This window comes from Homo sapiens, chromosome 2 (assembly GCF_000001405.40).
Source record: "Homo sapiens chromosome 2, GRCh38.p14 Primary Assembly".
Taxonomy (NCBI): Eukaryota; Metazoa; Chordata; class Mammalia; order Primates; family Hominidae; genus Homo; species Homo sapiens.
The window spans coordinates 160,271,905-160,291,992 of NC_000002.12; the positions used below are offsets into that span (position 1 = coordinate 160,271,905).

Below are 20,088 nucleotides of genomic sequence, written 5' to 3' on the forward strand. Positions count from 1 at the left end.
TGACGGTTGACGTGCTGAGCTGAGGGTTGACGTCTCTGGTCATTACACAGATTTAAATAACCAGCAAAAGTGGGGTGGAAAGGTTTTTCCAATTGTTTTCAAGGAAATGTATTTTGAGGATATATTGAATCTGACATAACTTTCAACTCACTTTCAAACCAATCTACTGAGCTGAAGAAAGAGATCAGAAATGAAATGAAATTCTGATATACACTTAATCGACTTAAAAAAAATTGACAGGAAAAATAAAATTTCAGATGTTTTTTATTCAAAGGTTCTCAAAAGAAATAAAACAGAAAAGCTAACAATCTGATCAAATGTACAGTTCAAAAATGTCTTTTGGCGTTTAACAACAAGTCCTAGGAAAGAAAACTACAGAGTTATCTTGAACCGGACAAATAAGTTACCACTGGCAAGTCTGTGGCACTAGTAAAACAAAAATAAAAAATTAACTCTCTTGATCATATAGATATCTCTATGAAAATCTTTTTTTTTCAATCTGTACAAAAGGTCTTTCTTCATAAATTAATTTTTTTATAATTTAATGGCTGTCTACTATGTGATGTTTAACTGATTTTTTTTTTTTTATGTACAGAGGTTATGTTTCCCAAATCTTACCCAGACGAGTATGGCACTTAGTTCAGACATTTCTAGCAGCAGATTTCCCCTCCCCTCTAACCGAGCTATCAAATTTCTGTCTTAACTAATGCAAAAATATCAAGTAGTGAGAGACCCAGGTTTATAACTGTACTAGGTACACAGAGGGTGCTGCGTTCAGTCTGGACTTTCACAAAGCAGTAATATTCCAGGGAGCATAGAACCAATAATACCACAACTTTAAAAAAATGAAACAAAAACAAAAACAAAAACACATTTCTCTTATGACTATGTAATTTTCACTAGAATCTACACTTCTCAGAGCAGCAAGGACTTTTGAAACTATGAAATGTCACTGACATCTATCATCAAATACAAGCATAAAATTTAAGAACTAAAAAATACTTGAAAGAAATAACTGCTTAGCCCTAGCTCCTGAGCTAGGAGGATTTGGTCTGTGGAAACAGGGAGGGCCAGCAACCTGTCCCAGCACAAAAGAAAATAGACTCTGAGGTAGATAACTGATCATACACAGCTGACCAGACAAGTACACAGTTTTGGAAGACAACTTAATTTACCATTGCTTTTAAAACATATGCAATTGCCTTAATAAAAGAGCTTTAATAACAGTGAATTATCTTATATGTACTAAAGTAGAAATAACTGTGTATTTATGAATCAGGAATTTCATAGTTTCAAAATTGGTTTTCTTTACACTTGAACACTTGTAGTGATGATGTAAAGTGTGGCACTGCTTGGATCCAAATCTTCCTTCATGCTTTTTTGTTTGTGTGTGTCCATACATCAATTAAAATTATAAAACCTAAATGCAAAGGTACAAAAAAGGCACATTCTCCTAACCGCAAACTGGTCCGGCAAAAATAAAGAGCACAGAAGATGTGATGCTGAGACAAGTTGGAGCTACTGGTTACTGGCTCTTCGGTCTTTGGTGAAGTTACCTTTAAAAGTGCCAAGTCATTTTTATTTTTCAAATTTACCTAATAGAGAGAGAGAGAGAGAGCTAGTAGCCAATCGTTTTGCTTCTATTCGTTATCTCAGCTTATGTTTGAAGATAAATCCTTACTTTTAGCTTTTGCCACTTTGTTGCAATAGCAACATTTTTCGGTTTGCCAGATTTCAGGCATAATTCTCATTCTAAAGCACTATCATTAGTATAAAGGAAGGACAAAACATTCAGTGACTCCCCTCCCCCACCCCCATCCCCAACCCCAACACTACCTACACTAAATCTAGTACATCAAGTTAGCTTTTTTTTTTTCCTGAAAAAAGGCAAAAAAGACTTTACATTGCATCATACAGCAGATATCCTAAATCAGTCAAACTATCAGAGGAAACTGTTGGCGTACAGCCTTACAAACAATTTACCCTAATAAAAGTTCCCCAGTCAGAAAATGTGTTTCACACAAAACATTTTTCCCTTCTTGCATTTCACTACCTTACACATTATGTGAAAAATCATTAAAAACACCTACTACATATTTAAAAAAGCCAAAATTTCAGCAACTTTTATTGACTACCTTTTAAAAGCCCTATGCTGCTGTTTTACAAGGCATAATAGACCAGCTCATTTGGTCAAAGCATTCTACATCATTAGTTTGAACTAACTTTTACTGAAACAGCTACAGCATCAAAAGAGTTAAGGCAAATTGGAATTCATAGAAAAGGATAAGACACTTCACACTACGTTGAAAGAAAGACAGAAAGCTAAGAAAAGAGACACTGACGGCAACACTGAATTACAGCAACACTCGCACTGCAAGCACAGAACACCATGGGTGAAGTCGGACTATTTAAACTTCAGAAAGCCCATTTCATACAGCTGGAAAAAAAAAACACAAATTAAACACAAAATGAACAAAACCACAAAAATCCGGTCATGCACTTGGATAAGTCTTCATGGTCTTTGTGCATACCCAGAAAATTGAAGTTTTCTTTTCTTTTTTTTTTTCTTTTTCTTTTTTTGCATCATAACATTTGATAAAAATCTTTTGTTTTTGTTTTTTGTTTTTTTTTTTTTACTAAAATAAACCTGTTCGGGGGAACAGCTACTAGATGAATTTAAGGGTTTTATGCACCTTATAGAACTTATAGCAAAAATAGTTTTAGTTGATTTCATTATAAATAACGTTTTCAAGAACCTGTGCAAAACTGTCAATAATTTCCTAAAGCACAATTGATCAGAAAAATCCATGATTGTTCAGCCTTCACACCCTTCTTCATGTAAGAACACCTTTCTGTACATCTGGAAGAGAAAAATAAAAGACAAATGCTTTTGTAGATTTGGTGTGAAACACTACAGAGCTTTGTAATCTGTTTCTTGTTTTAAAGAGATATGTGTTTGAAAAAGGTTATGCTCATCACTGATGGTAGACTGATAAATGCAGACTCTGGAACTGATGGTTACTTTCAATGCCTGTCACATCCAGGACTTGCAAAATACTTTCTTTTCTAATTTAGAGCCAAATTCATTTGGGTCTCTAAAGAGTGACTTTATGAAATCAAAAATACATGTTATCACCAGGGCAATCCAGAAACCAAGGTATTCTATATCACCAGGGCAATGCAGAAACCAGGGTATTCTAAGTTCTACACAGCTATTTTATTACAGTCTGCATGGTAAAGTGAAAAGTTTTGAAATTTGTGGTTCAAGTGAGAGTTGGGAATATAATCTTTCAATCTAAGGATATTGACATTTATCTAAATTCATAATCAAGATGTTGCTAAACTTGTAATGCTAGATTGAGCAACATCTTATGCTATAGGTCCTCCAGTTTCTGAGTATTAAAGTAATATGATATAGGATACTTGTATTATAGAACAATTTTGGTTCTTGGTGTTCTCTGATGTTACAGATTTTTATTTTTTTCTTTTTAGTGGGGAGAGTATACATTTGGCTTCAGTATAAAGCATTCTCTTTAGACAAAATGATTAATCTTAAATTCATAAAATCACTGATTTTAATATTTCAACAAGACTAGATGCCTTGGCCACGATTAAAGCAGTATGATAAAATCCGAGTTATCCCAATCACCATTCTGATTTTAAAAAAAGCCCTATAGATTGTGCTTGATTTGAGCCCCCCAGTTATGAAGACCTTTCCCTCATACCTCACAGTTACTTATTAGGTTGAAAGGTATATGGAGAATGGTCATTAGACGTCTCGACAGCCACCTGCTGTTGACCACTTGCCTCCTACAACAAACAAAGCAGAATGGATGAGACATGTTAGTGAAAAAACCTCAGCTCTGCTACTTAGGCCTGACTGAATCCAACAGTGCCTTAAAAACAGTTACTCTTTAAAGTAAATTTCTTCACGTCATGTAGAGCTTTCAAGGTTAATCATTTCCCTAAGCAGCTGGCATGTCTAACAGACCCAAAGCACCTCCCATCCAAATGTTTATGACTTTCCTATTCTTATCAAGCTACAGCATATCAAACAAATCTCTTACCCTCTTATCCCCTGGGGACAGATGTGATTTGGAATTCAGTATTTTCAGATTTTATAATCTGAAATGTGGTATGCATATGCTGTATATCATTTAATGCCTCCAGTAGGGTCTAGGGCTGCACCTCATAAGCAAACATATTAATAGTTCTACACTGGAAGCCATGAAGCAGCACAGTTAAGTGGGATCAAGATTTTGTCTCATCTCAATTCAGGTTGAGTTTTGCCATAGGTCAGGTTTTATGCTAAAGTAGTTACAAAGATAATTTTTATTTTCAGATTTCTTTTTGGGTTTCAGATTGCAGGTAAGGAATTGTAGGCTCTGGTAACTGTGGTTGTCAGTAATTGCACAAACAGAAGTAAAATACTACTACCACCACCACCACCACCACCACCACCACCAACACCTACTACTACTACTACTGCTACTACTATCACCACCACCACCACCACCTCCACCAACAGGCCAGAGTCCTATGATCCTTTCCTGGAATTGGAACCTTTGGGATCTGCCTAGTGGGCAAGATCAACTGGATTGATACATTTCCTTGAAATTTTAAGGATACTTTGCAGGAAAATGCCACGTTTTCTCTCTAACCATAATTCAAATGCTAGACTTCTTTCTTTCATATCAGTATCTTCCATAACAAGAACAGTTATCTAGCCATACTAACAGCCTCTGTAAAAACAGCTATAGCTTCTTCTTCATCCCTGTAGCAGTTTCAAAACAGCTTTCTCTTTTCCACTAAGTATCTTAACTACAACTGATTTCTTTTCGTCATTATTAATTATCATTGATACGATCTTTAGTACTGGGACTGCAAACTCCAGATTTATCTTATTATGTCTGTAGTATCATTTTATGAGAGACAAGACAGAACGTCCGAGGGGTATGAAAGGCACTATAGGCTTAGAAAATATTTCTGGGAGTCTTAAGAGGTGTGGCCTGGATGTTGTTACCCTAATTTGTCATGATCATAGCTCACTGTAGTTGCAAACTCCAGGGCTCAAGGGTTCTTCCTGCCTCATACTCCTGAGTAGCTGGGACTACAGGTCCATGTCACCATGTCTGGCCAATTTTCAAACAATTTTATTTTTTGTAGAGATGGGATCTCACTATGTTGCCCAGGCTGGTCTCTAACTCCTGACCATAAGCAATCCTCCCTCCTCAGCCTTCCAAAGTGTTGGACTTACAGGCATGACCCACCACATCTGGCTAAACGCAATTCTTTATGCAAATATTTGACGTCTGGTAGATTTTTCTGAGTTCTATTTAATTTACCCATTTCTGAAACTACTTATAGCCAGAATGGTCACTGGATGGTCTCTACCAACCTCAACAGGAACCGCTGTCGTCTGCATATGTGCATACTGTGGCAAGTAGGCTCCTTGCATAGCTGACGTTGCAGGCATGTACTAGAAAGAAGAATGAGGTCAGAATGGGCAATGGTAAACCATGCAAAATTTGGAGTACGTGGGGGGATTGTGAGATGGATATAATGTATTTGGAAATCTCAAAGAAGAAATTTAAATGGGCTACACCTCAAAGCTTAAATAGTGCATATAAATATGTCATATGGAAGGTAAACTGTTTTCTACTTTTTGAATCTGCTAAACTAAAAATTCCACATTTCTTTGGATTTGCTAACAAAGTGAAGATAAAAAAAGTTTATTATGGGTGAAGATAAAAAAGTTTGTCACTCTCAATAATTCAGTATCACTAATGTGTGATTTTAGAAGATCTCTCCTCAAAGGACCTCATTATTTTCTAGCAGCCCCCTAAACTAGTACCTAGTATTGTTTCTACAGGTAGAGCCCACAGGGGTAAGACTTATTAGACCTCTAACAGGTCACTGCAGATTAGGCAGCAGAGCCTGGCTTTTCTGACACTGACAGTCATCCTTTCCCAAAGGCAGGAGAAATTTCTAGTCAGTCTCATTGGATATGTGTGGCCCTGGCTTAGCCTTCACAAGAAACAGCTGTAGGTTTTGAGTGTATAAGGGGAAAACGCACCACCCTTTGTTCTTTTAAGCCACTATAGAATAGAGGCTAAATTAAAATCCTTTAGCCATCTTACCAGCAAAATGCTAAGCATCAAATCTGGAAGCTGATCTGGTGCCAGCTCAACCTCATTACCCAAAGGAGTCCCCTGGACTTTGGTGAAATATTTCAATATTAAGACCATGATTCAATACTCCCAAACTCCATAAAAGAAGAAATAAGCGAGAAATAATTCCCTGCTTTTACCATCTTGTATTACCTTCGTCTTTCGCTTCATGACACTGCCACAGGGACAGTGGTACTAGTTATATAGATGACACTAGTCATAAAAGGCTAGATGTGGTCACGTGTGGGTGCTATATTCTCGTAAAGGAGAGATACCCAGAGAATAGACTTTCAGTTCATCAATTAATTAAGAAATAGCTGAGTATTTACTTTATGGAAGGTCATGTGGGGGGAAGAGAGGGGATTAGACATAATCTGTTATCATAGAGGCTGTCATTTGATAGGGAAGATACAGGCTGCATTAATTTACCCTCCTCTGTTTACAGAGACACATGATAATTATTTGCCACCTACTGTTCCGGTGCTGCCTAGTGACAGATGACTCATCTGCTGGGCCAGAGGGCTGATCATTGATGCGGGCTGTAGTGACATGGTGTGCTCCATTGAGGGAGTTAACACGGCACCCTGGGGAGTTGGAGACAGGAGCAAAATTAGACAAACTGAGGCAAGAGTTAAGATCCTGTAATTACTTTTTACAAAGGAAATACCTTAGTTTGTTTAAGAATGTGAAGCAAAAACAACCTTCCTCAATCTTGCAAATGGCATCATAAACAGTTTCCTAAAAATCTTCTAAATTGCTCTTCCTGAGAGTTTTTTAAGAGCGTTAGGGGAAATGATATCTTGGCATTCACTTCACAACAATCCCTGTATTAAAGCCAGTGTCCCTCTTCTCCTTCCCTTTCCCTTCACTTCCAGTAACTGGAAGCAAGCTAGTCCAGCAGGAGGAGCTATCATAGGAAAAACAAACTGATTATCACTGCCTGCCTAGGGTTACAAAACGCTTTCTTAAAAAAAAATCTGGAAAAAAAAGGCAGTTGATGTTTTCTCCAGTCACCAAACAATGTATTATATTTAATAAGATCAATATAGTATTTTGTTTAACAATGTTCTATCCAGATAATCGTCTGGTTCAAGATCAGGTTGTTAGGATCAAGAGCACATTTCTTCATTCACTCAGTGTTTCTCAGAACTTTAAGTTACATTTTGGTGCCTGGGAGGGAAGGCAATTCAGATATGATTAATAATCTGAGTCCAGATTCTTTTATTTAATTTGAAAAAATGTTAGTCATTAAAATCAAATTAAATATATTTAGGAAAATAGGAGGGAAAAAAAAAACAATTGCTTCTAACTCAGCCAGTCTAATACAACCACTGTTAGCAATGTCAGGGTACTACTGCCAGATCATAGCCTCTGTGTGTTTCTGTACAGGTTCAATCAGAGCACATCAACAACTTCATATCCTGGGATTTTGCTCTTAACTTTGCATTCTATTCTAACCATTTACCTAGCTTGTTGAAAAACTATCATTATCATCATTTTTTTAAATGGTTACATTGATTGTATAAACCAAAATTCAATGAACTCTTTATTTTTGGACTTTTGCAATCACCTCATTATCTGAGAATGCAAGTATTCTGACACGCTCTGTAACTACTAATGTATGTTTTGTTATCACTGTACCTGGCATCCCTTAAATACAACTGTTATTTATTGATAATTAGATAGACAATCTAGGACAGAGTTAGGTGTACAGGAACTTTAATTCTGATGTAAATCAGGCAGTTTAAAGCTGGGTGGGGAAAGGTAATGAATCCTCAGATAGCAACCTTCTGCTTACATTCCTAATGTCTCCTCAAAGATGTTAAGCTCAGATACGTGCAGTCTTTTTCTCAAATGTTGCCAAAAAGAAAAAAAGATATAGATGTGTGTCAGAGATAATGTTTGTCATTAATACATTCTGTTAGAAATTTTTTTTTTAACATGCATCATCAAAAAGCAAGTGGTAACACGGAAATGACTCAGAAGCCTAGAAGATGGTGGAGCAGTTTCCTGCTCCTTTTTCTCATTCATTGGCACCATCTGTAATAGGAAGTCCTCAAATTCAAAGCAAGCTGATTTCCAAGCATTCCAAAATAGGGTAGCATGGAGTATCAGGGACACAGATTGCTATGGGCATGTGTGGATCAGTGCATGTATATTATGTACACATGTACAGGTAAGTGTGGGTTTGAAGATGTGTCTATGTATGTGCACATGTATAGATCTATATGTATGTGTATATATCACACAAAACGTATACATATATCAGAGCGCGCCTCTCCTATTTCATCACCTAAACATGTTTTATCTGCTTCTTAAAGGTCATCTCAGCAATTTCTCATTCAGAACCTGTTATCCCTGGATTGCTATTTCATATACATGGTCTTACATCGCAGTATCCACTTTAAAAGGTATCCGAAGACAAATTGCTGTCTGAACATAAGGCCAAGAATACAGTTCTTTTTCTAAGCAACCAAATCTGTTTTTATTTTACACATATTGTGAACTGTATTGCTTACCAGGATTCCCATTTTGCATCAGTTACTAGAAAGCTTAGAGCCAAATTTGTGATTTTCTCATGTGAGCATGCAGGGTCATTGTGTTGGACATCCTTAGCCTTATTGTAACTTTGTTCTCCATATGTATTTTTAAATTTTCAAACCCTTCTTCCACAAACTAGATCTTATGTGTCTTTGAAAAACACATGAAATACACTATATAATAAGTATAACTCATTCAATTTAAAAAAATGTAATATATATGAATGCTCACGTCATTAAGAAATCACATTTGTTATTTACCAAATAATGTGCTACCACTTTAGTATTTATAATCTCCATAGAAAGGCCAAGTAACACTGATGAAAATCTTCATCTCGGTTTTGAACTTTATATCTGCATTAAACAGAATGTAAAAAATGAGAGCGGTTTTATCCCAAGTACTATTAAAAATGTAGCCTCTCATTTGAATGATCTCTAAAGAGCTGGTATGAATAAGAAAATGGTGCCCTGCCTCAAATATGATATATTTTAAGTTCTTATAGAAAATGTAACTTAATATCTTCTACCAAGTTGTTTTATAAGGATGAGAAGAAGTTTTATAATGAAATTGTACATTCTCATATTCCATGTTTAAAATTTCCCAAATCCTATACCACCCTTGGCAAATGGTTTTAACCTAGAGAGAATATACACATAACTTACTTGTAAAACACAAAGTCATTAAGATAAAAAACTTACAGGGTGCTGTAGAATATATGGTTGAGGTTGCATCCACGAAGGACTTTGCACCTAGAAAAGGGAGGATTTTGAAAGAAATATTGATTTTCATTGTAAAGCTTACCTATTTCTTTAGAACTCTTTTTAATCATGTTAAAAATCTACAGAAAGAAAACAAGGAAACAATACTATCAATGATTAAAAAGATTAAGGCAGTTAGAATTCTTGGCAAACTGGTCACTCTGAACAGGATGAAATGATTATTTAGAAACAATTTCTATTTGCCCACTCAAGAAGTAATTGTTGAGTATCAGGCAACAAAGAGAAAAAGGCGAAACAGACTGGGCCCCACCCTCAAGAAATTTACTATCTATGCAAGGGAGATAAACACAGCAACAACTCAAATAGTGAAAAGTGTTAACAATCAAGGTATGAACTAGGTGCTTTAGAATTACAGATGAATGACGATTAATTCCAGCACATCTTATTAGAAGCTAACCCTTAAAGTATGTGCTTATTTAATACAAAAAACCAAATTCAATTTCTCTTTCATATCTAGGACATTAATTTTAGAAATCTTGTATTGTGGTCAACAATTTCTACTTAGTGCAGAAAATAAAAATCTGAAATTCAGATTAAGGAAATTAAACTTCAGTAACTAGATTTTGACATCTACAGTCAAATGGGCATCCACACAGTAGACCCTCTGAATTGAGAAATAGATGTGAGAGTCAGGTTTTGTGGCAGGAAAGAAAGCATGTGTAGTCTGCCACTCAAGAGAAAAACATATCAGCCCATTTCTTGATGCCCAGAGCTTTCCAGAGTCTAAGTAATTTTATTAAGTTTCAGTTTCCAATTCTTAACAACAAAACCCTCCTGCATTTTATCCCCTATTGTTAACTTCAGAGGTTCAACAGAGAGGATATGGGGAAGAGTCATGGGGGAAGAATGTATTGCGATTTACCTTGATAGCAGAGCCCCGATACTTGTTTTCTCTGGTTTCCTTTGCCACCTAAGGCAGACCAAAGTTAAGTGCTTCTGCCTTGTTAACATTTCAGTTATCTGGACTGTAGCCTTTCCCCATTGGGGTTGGTGGTTTCTTGCAGCTGCCAATTTCTCAAATCCAATTGCATAAGCTTATGGTGGTTTAGTGGAGAAAGGCCCACTCCAACATGAGTGCAGGGCCCTCACTGGATATATGATGGGAAGGCAAACAACTCCCTACAGACCCTAATTTGGGCCAGATGCCCCCATTTTTTATATGCTTCAGTGGTCTTAATAATCTAATAGCTTATAGCATTACAGGATTAGGGAACTATGACATCTAATTTTCTTTCTTAAGCAGCAAATCAGCTGCTGTCAATTTCTATTCCTCAATTTTCTAATTATAAAATGGGAATAATAATGTTTTGTAAACTCTTTACTATTGGTTCTTAACCTCTTTAGGGTCATGGAGCCCTCTGAAAACCTAATTAGGGAAATAGAACATTTTTCCCCACTTAATTGCACACACACAAGCAACATTTTGCAAACAACTTAAGGAGTCACAGATCACTTAAAGCTCATCCACTGACCCTACTAGGTCCCTGAACTTATGTAGTTAAAAATCAGTCTTTGAGGCTATGGCACCGAGTGTCAGGCAATGCAATGAAATTCCATATGTATCTTAGAGAAATACAGAATGCCCAGGAGAGGAAATAAGGCCTCTGAAATAATATGTTATTTCTAGTTAGCTATATCAAATCTATTACTGACACAGATCTCCTAATTTTTATTGTACAAAATGGTTCTGTGGCCAAATGCACACTGGTTTTATATTATAAGAGGGAAAAAGAGGTGTTGGAGAAATGTGTTAATAGCTGTAATATCTATAGCAACATAAATTCAAATTAATACTTACAACCTTTCATTTGCCTGAGAATAACTTACACTTGCCCCTATTTTCAGTGACATATAAATGACAGAGGTTTCCAAGTTCAGACAGTTAAGAAAGACTACCTTTTCATAGCAGACACATGAATTGTTAATTAGGGAAGTGCACTAGAGCAGATCTCACTGAGTCTTATACAGTCAAAGAAAGGATAGGAATCCTAAATCCAAAACAACTAAAGAGGCATTAAATTAGTCAATACTACGCCCAGCAGAATGAAGCACCAGAATAAGTAACATAAGAACCCAGAGAGAAAAAAGAAAAGAAAACGAGTGACAACTCAGGGAAAGGAGGCTGTAAGAGCCTAGAAGCATAGGAGACTGTGAATGATAATGCCAATCCTCAGTTTTAGCGTATCTAATCACTTCTGTTATTCAAAACCATTTTTATGTTTTTAGGCAGAATTAGTTATATGACATTGCTTATGTTGGCCAATTCATTATTTAAACGTATAACTAATATACTCTTATTATCAGCCACCTAATCATGCATATTAATGATAATAATCATAGCTAACATTAACTGAGTGATAATGATATGTGAGGTCCTTGGCTGGGCTCTTTATACAGTCTCATTTGGTTTTCATAATTCTCTCAAGCCTATGAGATAGAAACTATTATTATCCCCATTTTAAAGATGAGGAAACTGAGGCTTATAGAAGTTAAAATAACACAACTATTAGATTACATATTGTAGTCCTCTAACCCCAGAAATTAGGACTACAACATCTAATTCAATTGTTTTAAAATCAAGAATACACAAAAATTTAGTCACACAGGATCCTGATGGTCAACAAAAGGGAACTCTGCTCCCACATGTCTGCAACTGAACTCCATTATAAGGTTCCTATCTGGGTCCAGGAAGTAATCCTGTTAGAGGTTTTCTGACACAGGAGGAGAAATGCATGTACACTACTGGGTTCATGGCGGACAGGAGCTACCTTTGCATTAAAATCAAATCAAATCTTGAAATACAAGACATTTCAAGAGTTTTTGTTGCTAAGTTGGGAATTTATTTTAAGGTAAAGCCTCCTCACTTAACCTAAACAGGAAGTCACCTTTTTGCTTTTATATTTTTACCTCAAATGTCAGCTGCATTGCTCACTTAATGCTACCTACTAGAGACACATCTTTATGTATTACCATGTTTATACTTGTTCTTTTATCAGTTCCTGCTGAAGAATAAACAAAAGCAAGGGTACACACCTATTCTGTATTATATCTAACGGCAATTATCTTAAGTTTCAATTTTTGGGACACATGGTGTCCAAAAGCAGGGCCCCTTGGTGAAGGAAGTGTTTGGGTTCATTCCAATCCAAAATGCTATGATTCCAAGGACTGACCACTGACAAACATTTTCCTTTGCTTTACATTCTCCTATACATAAATTGCTCTGCCAAATACAAAGCAGCTCATACTAAATTGGGTATCCAAGCTGCATAATATTTGACTCAAATTTCATAAACGCTCAAAATTTTAAGACACATAAAAATGTAGCAGAGATTCATGGTCCGCAAGTGGTTATACTGCTGACGAATCCTAAAGGTACAAACCTGGTAGGCAGATACAGGAGATGCAATATAGGGTGTAATAGAAGTTTGAGTGATCATTCGGTTTGTAGCAATACTGTATGGTGAAGGATAAAATCTAGAACAAACACAAAAGCCTTTATTAAGTAATCCTTTAAATAGAATAATTCATGGAACAAATGTCTGATATTTTCCACCTTCACATTTTCCCTCAAGCCATTATGGATTTATTTTAACGACATACCCGTTCTGTATAGCAGCTGTAGTTGGGTCGTAAGTAAGTGTCATTCCAGCCTATGGGAAAGAGAAAGAAATATAAACATTCATCTAGAAAGGCATGATTTAAAAATTCTATTTTTAGCCAGGTGTGGTGGTGTGCACCTGTAGTCCCAGCTGCTGGGGAGGCTGAGGTGGGAAGATCCTTTTGAAGCCCAGGAGTTCGAGGCTGTAGTTAGCTATGATTACATCACTGCACTCCAGCCTGGGCAACAGAAGGAGACCCCTGTCTCTTAAAAAAAAAGGGGAGGGAGGGGAATTTGTACTTAGAGTCTAGTAGCATTTGATAAAATTGGGAGTTTCTGTTAGTCAAAATGACTATAAATATGAAAATTAATCTCTGGACCTGCACTGTCCCATGTGATAGTCATAAGCCACATGCAGCTATTTAAAACTACATAAAAAATCAATCTCTCTAGCATACTAGCTACGTTTCAAGTGCTCAGAGAGCCACCTGTGGCTGGTGGCTGTTATTGGACAGTGCAGATTCTAGAACATTTTCCCTAGACATTCTTGGATCAATATGTTATTGTTTTTAAAATAATAATTCATGGAAAGTCAATACAGGGAAATGGACGTCCAACATTTTATTACGAAATTGAGAGTTTTAATTAAAAAAAAAACTATTCAAAAGAGAGGTGAAAAAAACCCCAACTCAGTGATAAATGTACTATTTATATATAAATATTTAGATTACTATTTAGGATAACTTCTAAATATTATAAATATAAACCCCTCTAAGAAACCATGCTAGCCTGGGCAACATAGTTAGATCCTATCTCTATAAAAATTTTAAAAAATTAGGCCGAGCACGATGGTTCACGCCTGTAATCCCAGCACTTTGGGAGGCTGAGGTGGGTGGATCATGAGGCCAGGAGATTGAGACCATCCCGACTAACACGGTGAAACCCCATCTCTAGTAAAAATACAAAAAATTAGCCGCGCATGGTGGTGGGTGCCTGTAGTCCCAGCTACTTGGGAGGCTGAGGCAGGAGAATGGCATGAACCCAGGAGGCAGAGCTTGCAGTGAGCGGAGATCGTGCCACTGCCCTCCAGCCTGAGCGACAGAGCAAGACTCCATCTCAAAAATAAAAAATAAATAAAAAAATAAAAATTTTTAAAAATTAGCCAGGAGTGGTGGCATGTCCCTGTCGTCTCAGCTACATAGGAGGCTGAGGTGGGAGGACTGCTTGAGCACAGGAGTTCAAGGTTGTGGTAGGCTATAACCACACCACTGGACTCCAGCCTGGGCAACAGAGACCATGTTTCTTCCTTTCTTTTTTTTTTTTTTTTATTTTGTTTTTTTTTTTTGAGATGGAGTCTCGCTCTGTTGCCCAGGCTGGAGTGCAGTGGCATGATCTTGGAACACTGCAGCCTCTGCCTCCCGGGCTGCAGCGATTCTCCTGCCTCAGCCTCCCAGGTAGCTGGGATTACAGGCATGGACCACCACGCAGGGCTAATTTTTGTATTTTTAGTAGAGACGGGGTTTCGCCATGTTGGCCAGGCTGATCTCTAACTCCTGATCTCAGGTGATCTGCCTGCCTTGGCCTCCCAAAGTGCTAGGATTATAGGTGTGAGCCACCGCGCCTAGCCTACAGAAACCCTGTTTCTGAAAAAAACCAAAAACAAACCCAAATCACTTGTGTTTTTCTTATGGCAATTTAGAATGCTCTTTTACTTCATGTGTAGCTAGCTGGTAAACACAGCTGCTTCCACCACCTATCGGTCCATCTGGAGAATCACTCTGTTATCACCATATATAATGAAAAGAATTTTAATTTGGCATCACTTGAATTATAATGTACCGAAAGGAAGATTTAATCCTGGCACCTATTTCAGAAGTGTGCAGCCAAGTCAAGATGCCTTTTTGTGTTACTTTTCATGTGGGCATTCAAGATCACACCCCCTCCCCCACCCCGCAAAGTTTCAAGAAAGGACTTACAAGTCTCACCTCTCCTTCTCTATGCCATGGTCTTCCATTAGGGATGTATTTGTTTGGGTTCTGTCTCTTTTTCTGTCCTCCATCAGCAAACTTACACAATAAAGGTTCTGTGGGGGCTAAGTAAACAGAGAAAAATAAAATGAAACCACAATGATACGTGTATGTGGATGACAAAATGTATTACAAAAATAGGAATAGTGTTCACGCTATTAGAAAATTCATACAACACTTTAAGGCAAAAGCAGTTTACTCAGACCTTTGTAAAACTGTCCACGATGAAAAACATAGTGCAGAAAAACATACTAGTTATTATTTCTGAACATTTAAATAACTATTCTGAGGAAGCAAAGGAATCTTTCGATTCACTTTCACACTTAAGAGTAGACACATTTCTTTTGGTTTTGGGCCCTCTCCAATTCCACCTCTGGACCGTCACCAAAATAATCTTCAAATTCAATAGGATTGTGCCATCCTCCCCTCCCCCAACTTAAAATGGTCCCTTAGCGTCCCATTATAATTCCTAAGAGGGACCCTTCACTTCTCCCAGTAGAAAACAAGCCACCTCTACACTGCTCGCACATATATTTTTATTCACAATTTGTAACAATTGGTGAGTATGTTTACTTGCTTGGTGTCTGTTTCCCCTTCTAGGCTATACGCCCCATGGGGGCAGTAACATTGTCTGTTTTGTCTATCACTGTATCCCCAGTGCCTAAGTGTCTGGACTTTGTAGTTGCTTATTACATCTTGGTTGCATCAGTGAATGAATAGAAATAGGTCTCATATGTTTATTTTTGGGATACGTCAGTGAAGATGGCTGTTGTGAGAAAGCTAAAAATACTTGTCCACCCTATTTAAAGGTTTTTCTGTGCCTTTAATCATACAACTGGGTATTGCTTTACTATATATCTATATACCACTATATATAGATCTGTATATTATTACTATATTACTTATAATATATATTACTATATACCTATACATTTATATAAATTCTTCTTACAGAATCCATGAGGCCAAAACAGAAAAGCAGAAGATGTAGAGAATATTTTCAAAGATATATACTCATTAGAGTTAAAAAAAAAAAAAAGTCTACAGACAGCACAATAGGGCACCAGTAACTTTTCCTTTTCTTTGCTTTTCTGCAATGGAAATAGCAGTGTATTCCAGAAAGTTGTGCATTTTTCTGTGTTTCTAGTTAATGTAATAAAGGCAATCACACCTTCCTGTCTGGTTCCCACATTCTGTCCTTTGTCTACTGTAGAACCATGATTACTACTTTCAAGTTCTGTTTCAAAGTTAAATAACCACGAAGAGAAAAATATTACTTGTGGAAAATTTACTCCTTTCTCCTGTGCCTCTTATTATCCTAATTCATCTCTTATTTTATTTCATGATTACCCACCCACTAATGACAGGGTGGAAGCAGTAGTGTCTTTCAACACTTCTCTGCCAAAAAACAAAACAAAAGAAAACAAAAAGCCCAACTGTAACTCCTTCTGGGTGAGCTGTCTGGGCTGCTGCCTGGCACTCCTTTCTTCTTTCCCTGGTGTGAACCACTCTGGAGGGATGGGTTGGAATGCCAACTCACTTCTGAATGACAACTGGACTATGGGTATGACGAGTCAGGAACAAAAATGTTAGGTGTCTGGTGAGACTATCAGCAAGCCTTGGCCCAGATCTAGAGAGGTTTATCCACTGACATTTGAGGTTGTAAGATGTTGACTCCACATAATCTCGTAGAGCAAGAGAGAAGATAATAAATTTGGTGGTGCTGGTACATAGTGGGTCTTCTCTAAAACGAGGTGCTTTTATCTAGAGGGTTTATGAAAACTAGGTCCTAGACTGAAATTTAACCTTTTTTTTGTTTTTTTTAAAGAAGTTACTTGGCTCAGCAAGTGATCCCAACTGGCCGTTTTTCTCTATTAGCATAATTTCTTTCAGAGACAGTAAATGATCAGGTTGGACTCATTCTAGAAGTTCAGTGCAGGCCACCTAAACAGGCAGGTGTGAATAAAAGCAGGTAAGCAGCCAGACCCTGATGCCTGCCTAAGCTCAACATGTGCTGAATGACCAAGTGTCCCCATCTGTGGATAAGGTGCTTCTAACACATTTTCCTTCATCTAGACTCCAGCCTGTCAAAGAAAAAAAAAATCTCAGGTGACAATAAAGCCTGCTAAAAATGCATAACAAGGAGGTAAACATCAAGGGAGTGATGACATGTTTGCAATTAGATCATTTAAAATAAACAAATGGAAGAGGATATAGCTGAACCTTTCAAAAAATGAATTATATTTACTACATGATTCTATGCTGTCATTAAGCTATTTTTTCCCCGCTAAAAGCAAAAAGGGAAGTAGTTACAACAGTTTGTATACTGGCAGGCATTTCATATCTTAGGAAAACAAGCTTTTTAAGAATTATAACCAGTAAAAATGACACATTTCTGAGATAGTTGCTGGCTGCTTGTTTCAGGGAAATGGGAGTACCCCAATATTCCATGTGAAGCAATATAAAATTCTAACAGCTTTCCTCTTTAAAATTCTCTTTGGTCTATTTAACCATCAAAATTTTAACTTAATGTCCACTATGTGCCAAGTACACAAGAGCTGGGGATACAGTGGTAGATAAAACAGGGTCCTTGCCTCCCTGGGGCTTGCAGTTTAATGGAGAAAAGAGTGTACCTAATCTCATGAAAACCCATTTAGTCATTTATGGAACAGAGCATTGTTTTTAGAGGTATTTGTTTTCAATAAAAATGCTAACCAGAAGCAAAATACTTTTGATGCAGAAACAGCTGTATTTCTTTGACAATTGCTGTTCCATTTATTTGAAGGACATTATTAGAAACAGCTTCTCCCTATAAGTTCTTAATGTTTTATTCATTACAAAGATTGTCCATGTGCCCTAGGAAAGCAAATTACATCAAGATTTAAGAAATTTTTAGGTATTTTAGGGTGGCAAAAGGGCCTGACTTATTGTAATTGATATGTGGTCTTACCATGATGTTGAGCAAGGGTTAGATGATCTGTTAGATTTTTGGGTAGGAAAAACAAACAAAACACACTGATGTCATGACCCACTTATTTTTAAGTGTGTGTGAGCGTGTTACAAAATGAGAGATCCTCATTTGGCCAGCATCTCCTGTGGCTTCTACCAAACCAGCGGTAGTCCCTAGTTTGCCTTTTGGAGCTGAATATACAGGTTACAGGTTGAAGAATCAGGAGATCCTATGTGACAGTAGCTTGTTCTATAGAGCGTACCTTTCAGCTGAACTCCAATTGTTTTTTACAAGGGAGAGATACCGGAAGACTGACATGCAGAAAAGGAAGTGCCATAAATACTAGTCATATGACTTTGAGTGATATGTAAGTTTGGCCAAATTAATATAAAAATTAATATGTAACTGTCAATCTTCTATATGCATGGTTACTTTTCCAGATTAGCAACTTTTTACCTTATTCTGCAAAGCAGTGATTACAAATAATTCTGACAAATGATTTGTGATTTAAGATGTATTCCTGTGTTAAAGTACTATAAAAATGATATAACCTACCCTTAAATCAACTGATTTTGCCAAATATGCAGAGCATTCTAGGTTAAATTTCCCCTTAATTAGTTGTGATCTTTTGGGTTTGTAAAGGGATTCTCATTCTCATCACCCAAAACTAAAGAGTTATTTTCCTGTTCATCAGAACCAACAGGAACATGCATCTCCAACAGCTTGACAACTGCAGTGTTACCTTGAGCATTTGTTAAAGGCCCCAGGCAACACTGCAATGCAAACACTGATCTAATATTTTCCGGCATCTCTTAAGAGCCATCTAAGGTAATCATGTCACTGGATTCTCCAGTGTGCTCTCAACAGAGCTTTGAGAGTGGGATGGTCTCTTACACAAGCTTGATTTTGTGGTACTGACAATCCTTCCTGAGACTGTGAGCTCCATGGATAAGGCTCAGGCTGACTTGCTGCCCATCTCCACCGAGTATTTTCCTTACCGATCTTCTGAAACTTAACTCTACAGTGATTTGTGCTCCAATGTCTTTCTTTGATATTTGTACTAAAAAATCACTTCTAGAATGCCTGCTCTGAGTAAGCACTGTAGCTCATGATGAGATCTGCAAGTCCTCCTCACTTATCAAACAGCTTGGAAGGACTTGGAGCTCTCTAGAGTTTGTAACAGAACTGATCTTTTCCTCAGCAGGTTCTAACGAAGGTCTTCTCCGTGCTTTTCCCTGTCAGATGCTGACAGCAGTTAACAGGTGGAGAAACTGTCACTTCCAAACTTCCATCTTTCTAGTTATGCTGTATTTTATCCTAATCAAAACACTGTAAAATGTAAACTGCCCTTGATAGAAGCTTCCCTATCCACTGTGGAAAACTAGTCCACTCAGCAACTGTAATTAGCTTTCTTTCTGATAATGTTGGCTACTTTCAACACTCCTCAACTCACAAAATGCAAGGAACTAGCTGCTGCTTTTAAAACATTTCAATAAGGATCCAATAAATATTATCTATTTTTTATGGGCACAACATCGTTTCCTGTTTTAGCCCTCTCCTTTTCTAACTGAATTCTGTTGACCTATTCAACCACTAGGAAGAGCTACAGCTTTTCTCTGTGGACGTTCTTCCTCCCGAGGCTGTTTAGGTTTCTCCTCCTCCCCTGTGCCTTAGGTAGTGTTTCTATCTCCAACCCAGTTTGAGAAGAGAGTAACATTTGTAATATCGTCATGTTACAATCATGTTACCTGATTATATATAGTCATGCTTTGCTCCTGCTGGGTTTGAGTTTTCTTCTTATTGAAATTCTCCTTCACCTCACTTCCCAACCCATCAACTAAGAGTTGTTTATCAGTAAAACAATGATTTGACAATATTAAAGTCATGTTAAATACAAAACAAAAACTCCATACCTCCCATGACTCCAACAAACATCTTTTAATTTTCTATATTTACTACTTTTCTAAGTCTATGTAGAGCCATTTATTTTTCACATTTGCAATGATAGGTCCTTTTCTTCTAC

The 20,088-nt window shown here is 37.1% G+C and overlaps 1 protein-coding gene across 3 annotated transcripts in view; it reads right to left on the reverse strand.

Moving 5' to 3' along the window:
• Window positions 1-246: 246 nt before the first annotated feature.
• Window positions 247-20,088, reverse strand: part of RBMS1 (RNA binding motif single stranded interacting protein 1) — a 221,657-nt gene continuing 201,815 nt past the window's right edge. Inside the window, exons 7-14 of one of the 3 annotated variants that reach the window (NM_002897.5) lie at window positions 15,074-15,180; window positions 13,091-13,140; window positions 12,871-12,964; window positions 9,410-9,460; window positions 6,644-6,754; window positions 5,399-5,479; window positions 3,726-3,810; window positions 247-2,860 (exon numbers count right to left, since the gene is read on the reverse strand). In NM_002897.5, the coding sequence (NP_002888.1) occupies window positions 3,733-3,810; window positions 5,399-5,479; window positions 6,644-6,754; window positions 9,410-9,460; window positions 12,871-12,964; window positions 13,091-13,140; window positions 15,074-15,180 (572 nt within the window). In that variant the 3' untranslated portion in view covers window positions 247-2,860; window positions 3,726-3,732. Of the gene's footprint in view, window positions 2,861-3,485; window positions 3,811-5,398; window positions 5,480-6,643; window positions 6,755-9,409; window positions 9,461-10,352; window positions 10,401-12,870; window positions 12,965-13,090; window positions 13,141-15,064; window positions 15,181-20,088 lie in introns of those variants that run through there. The other 2 variants (NM_016836.4, XM_047445368.1) reach the window with 2 other exon arrangements.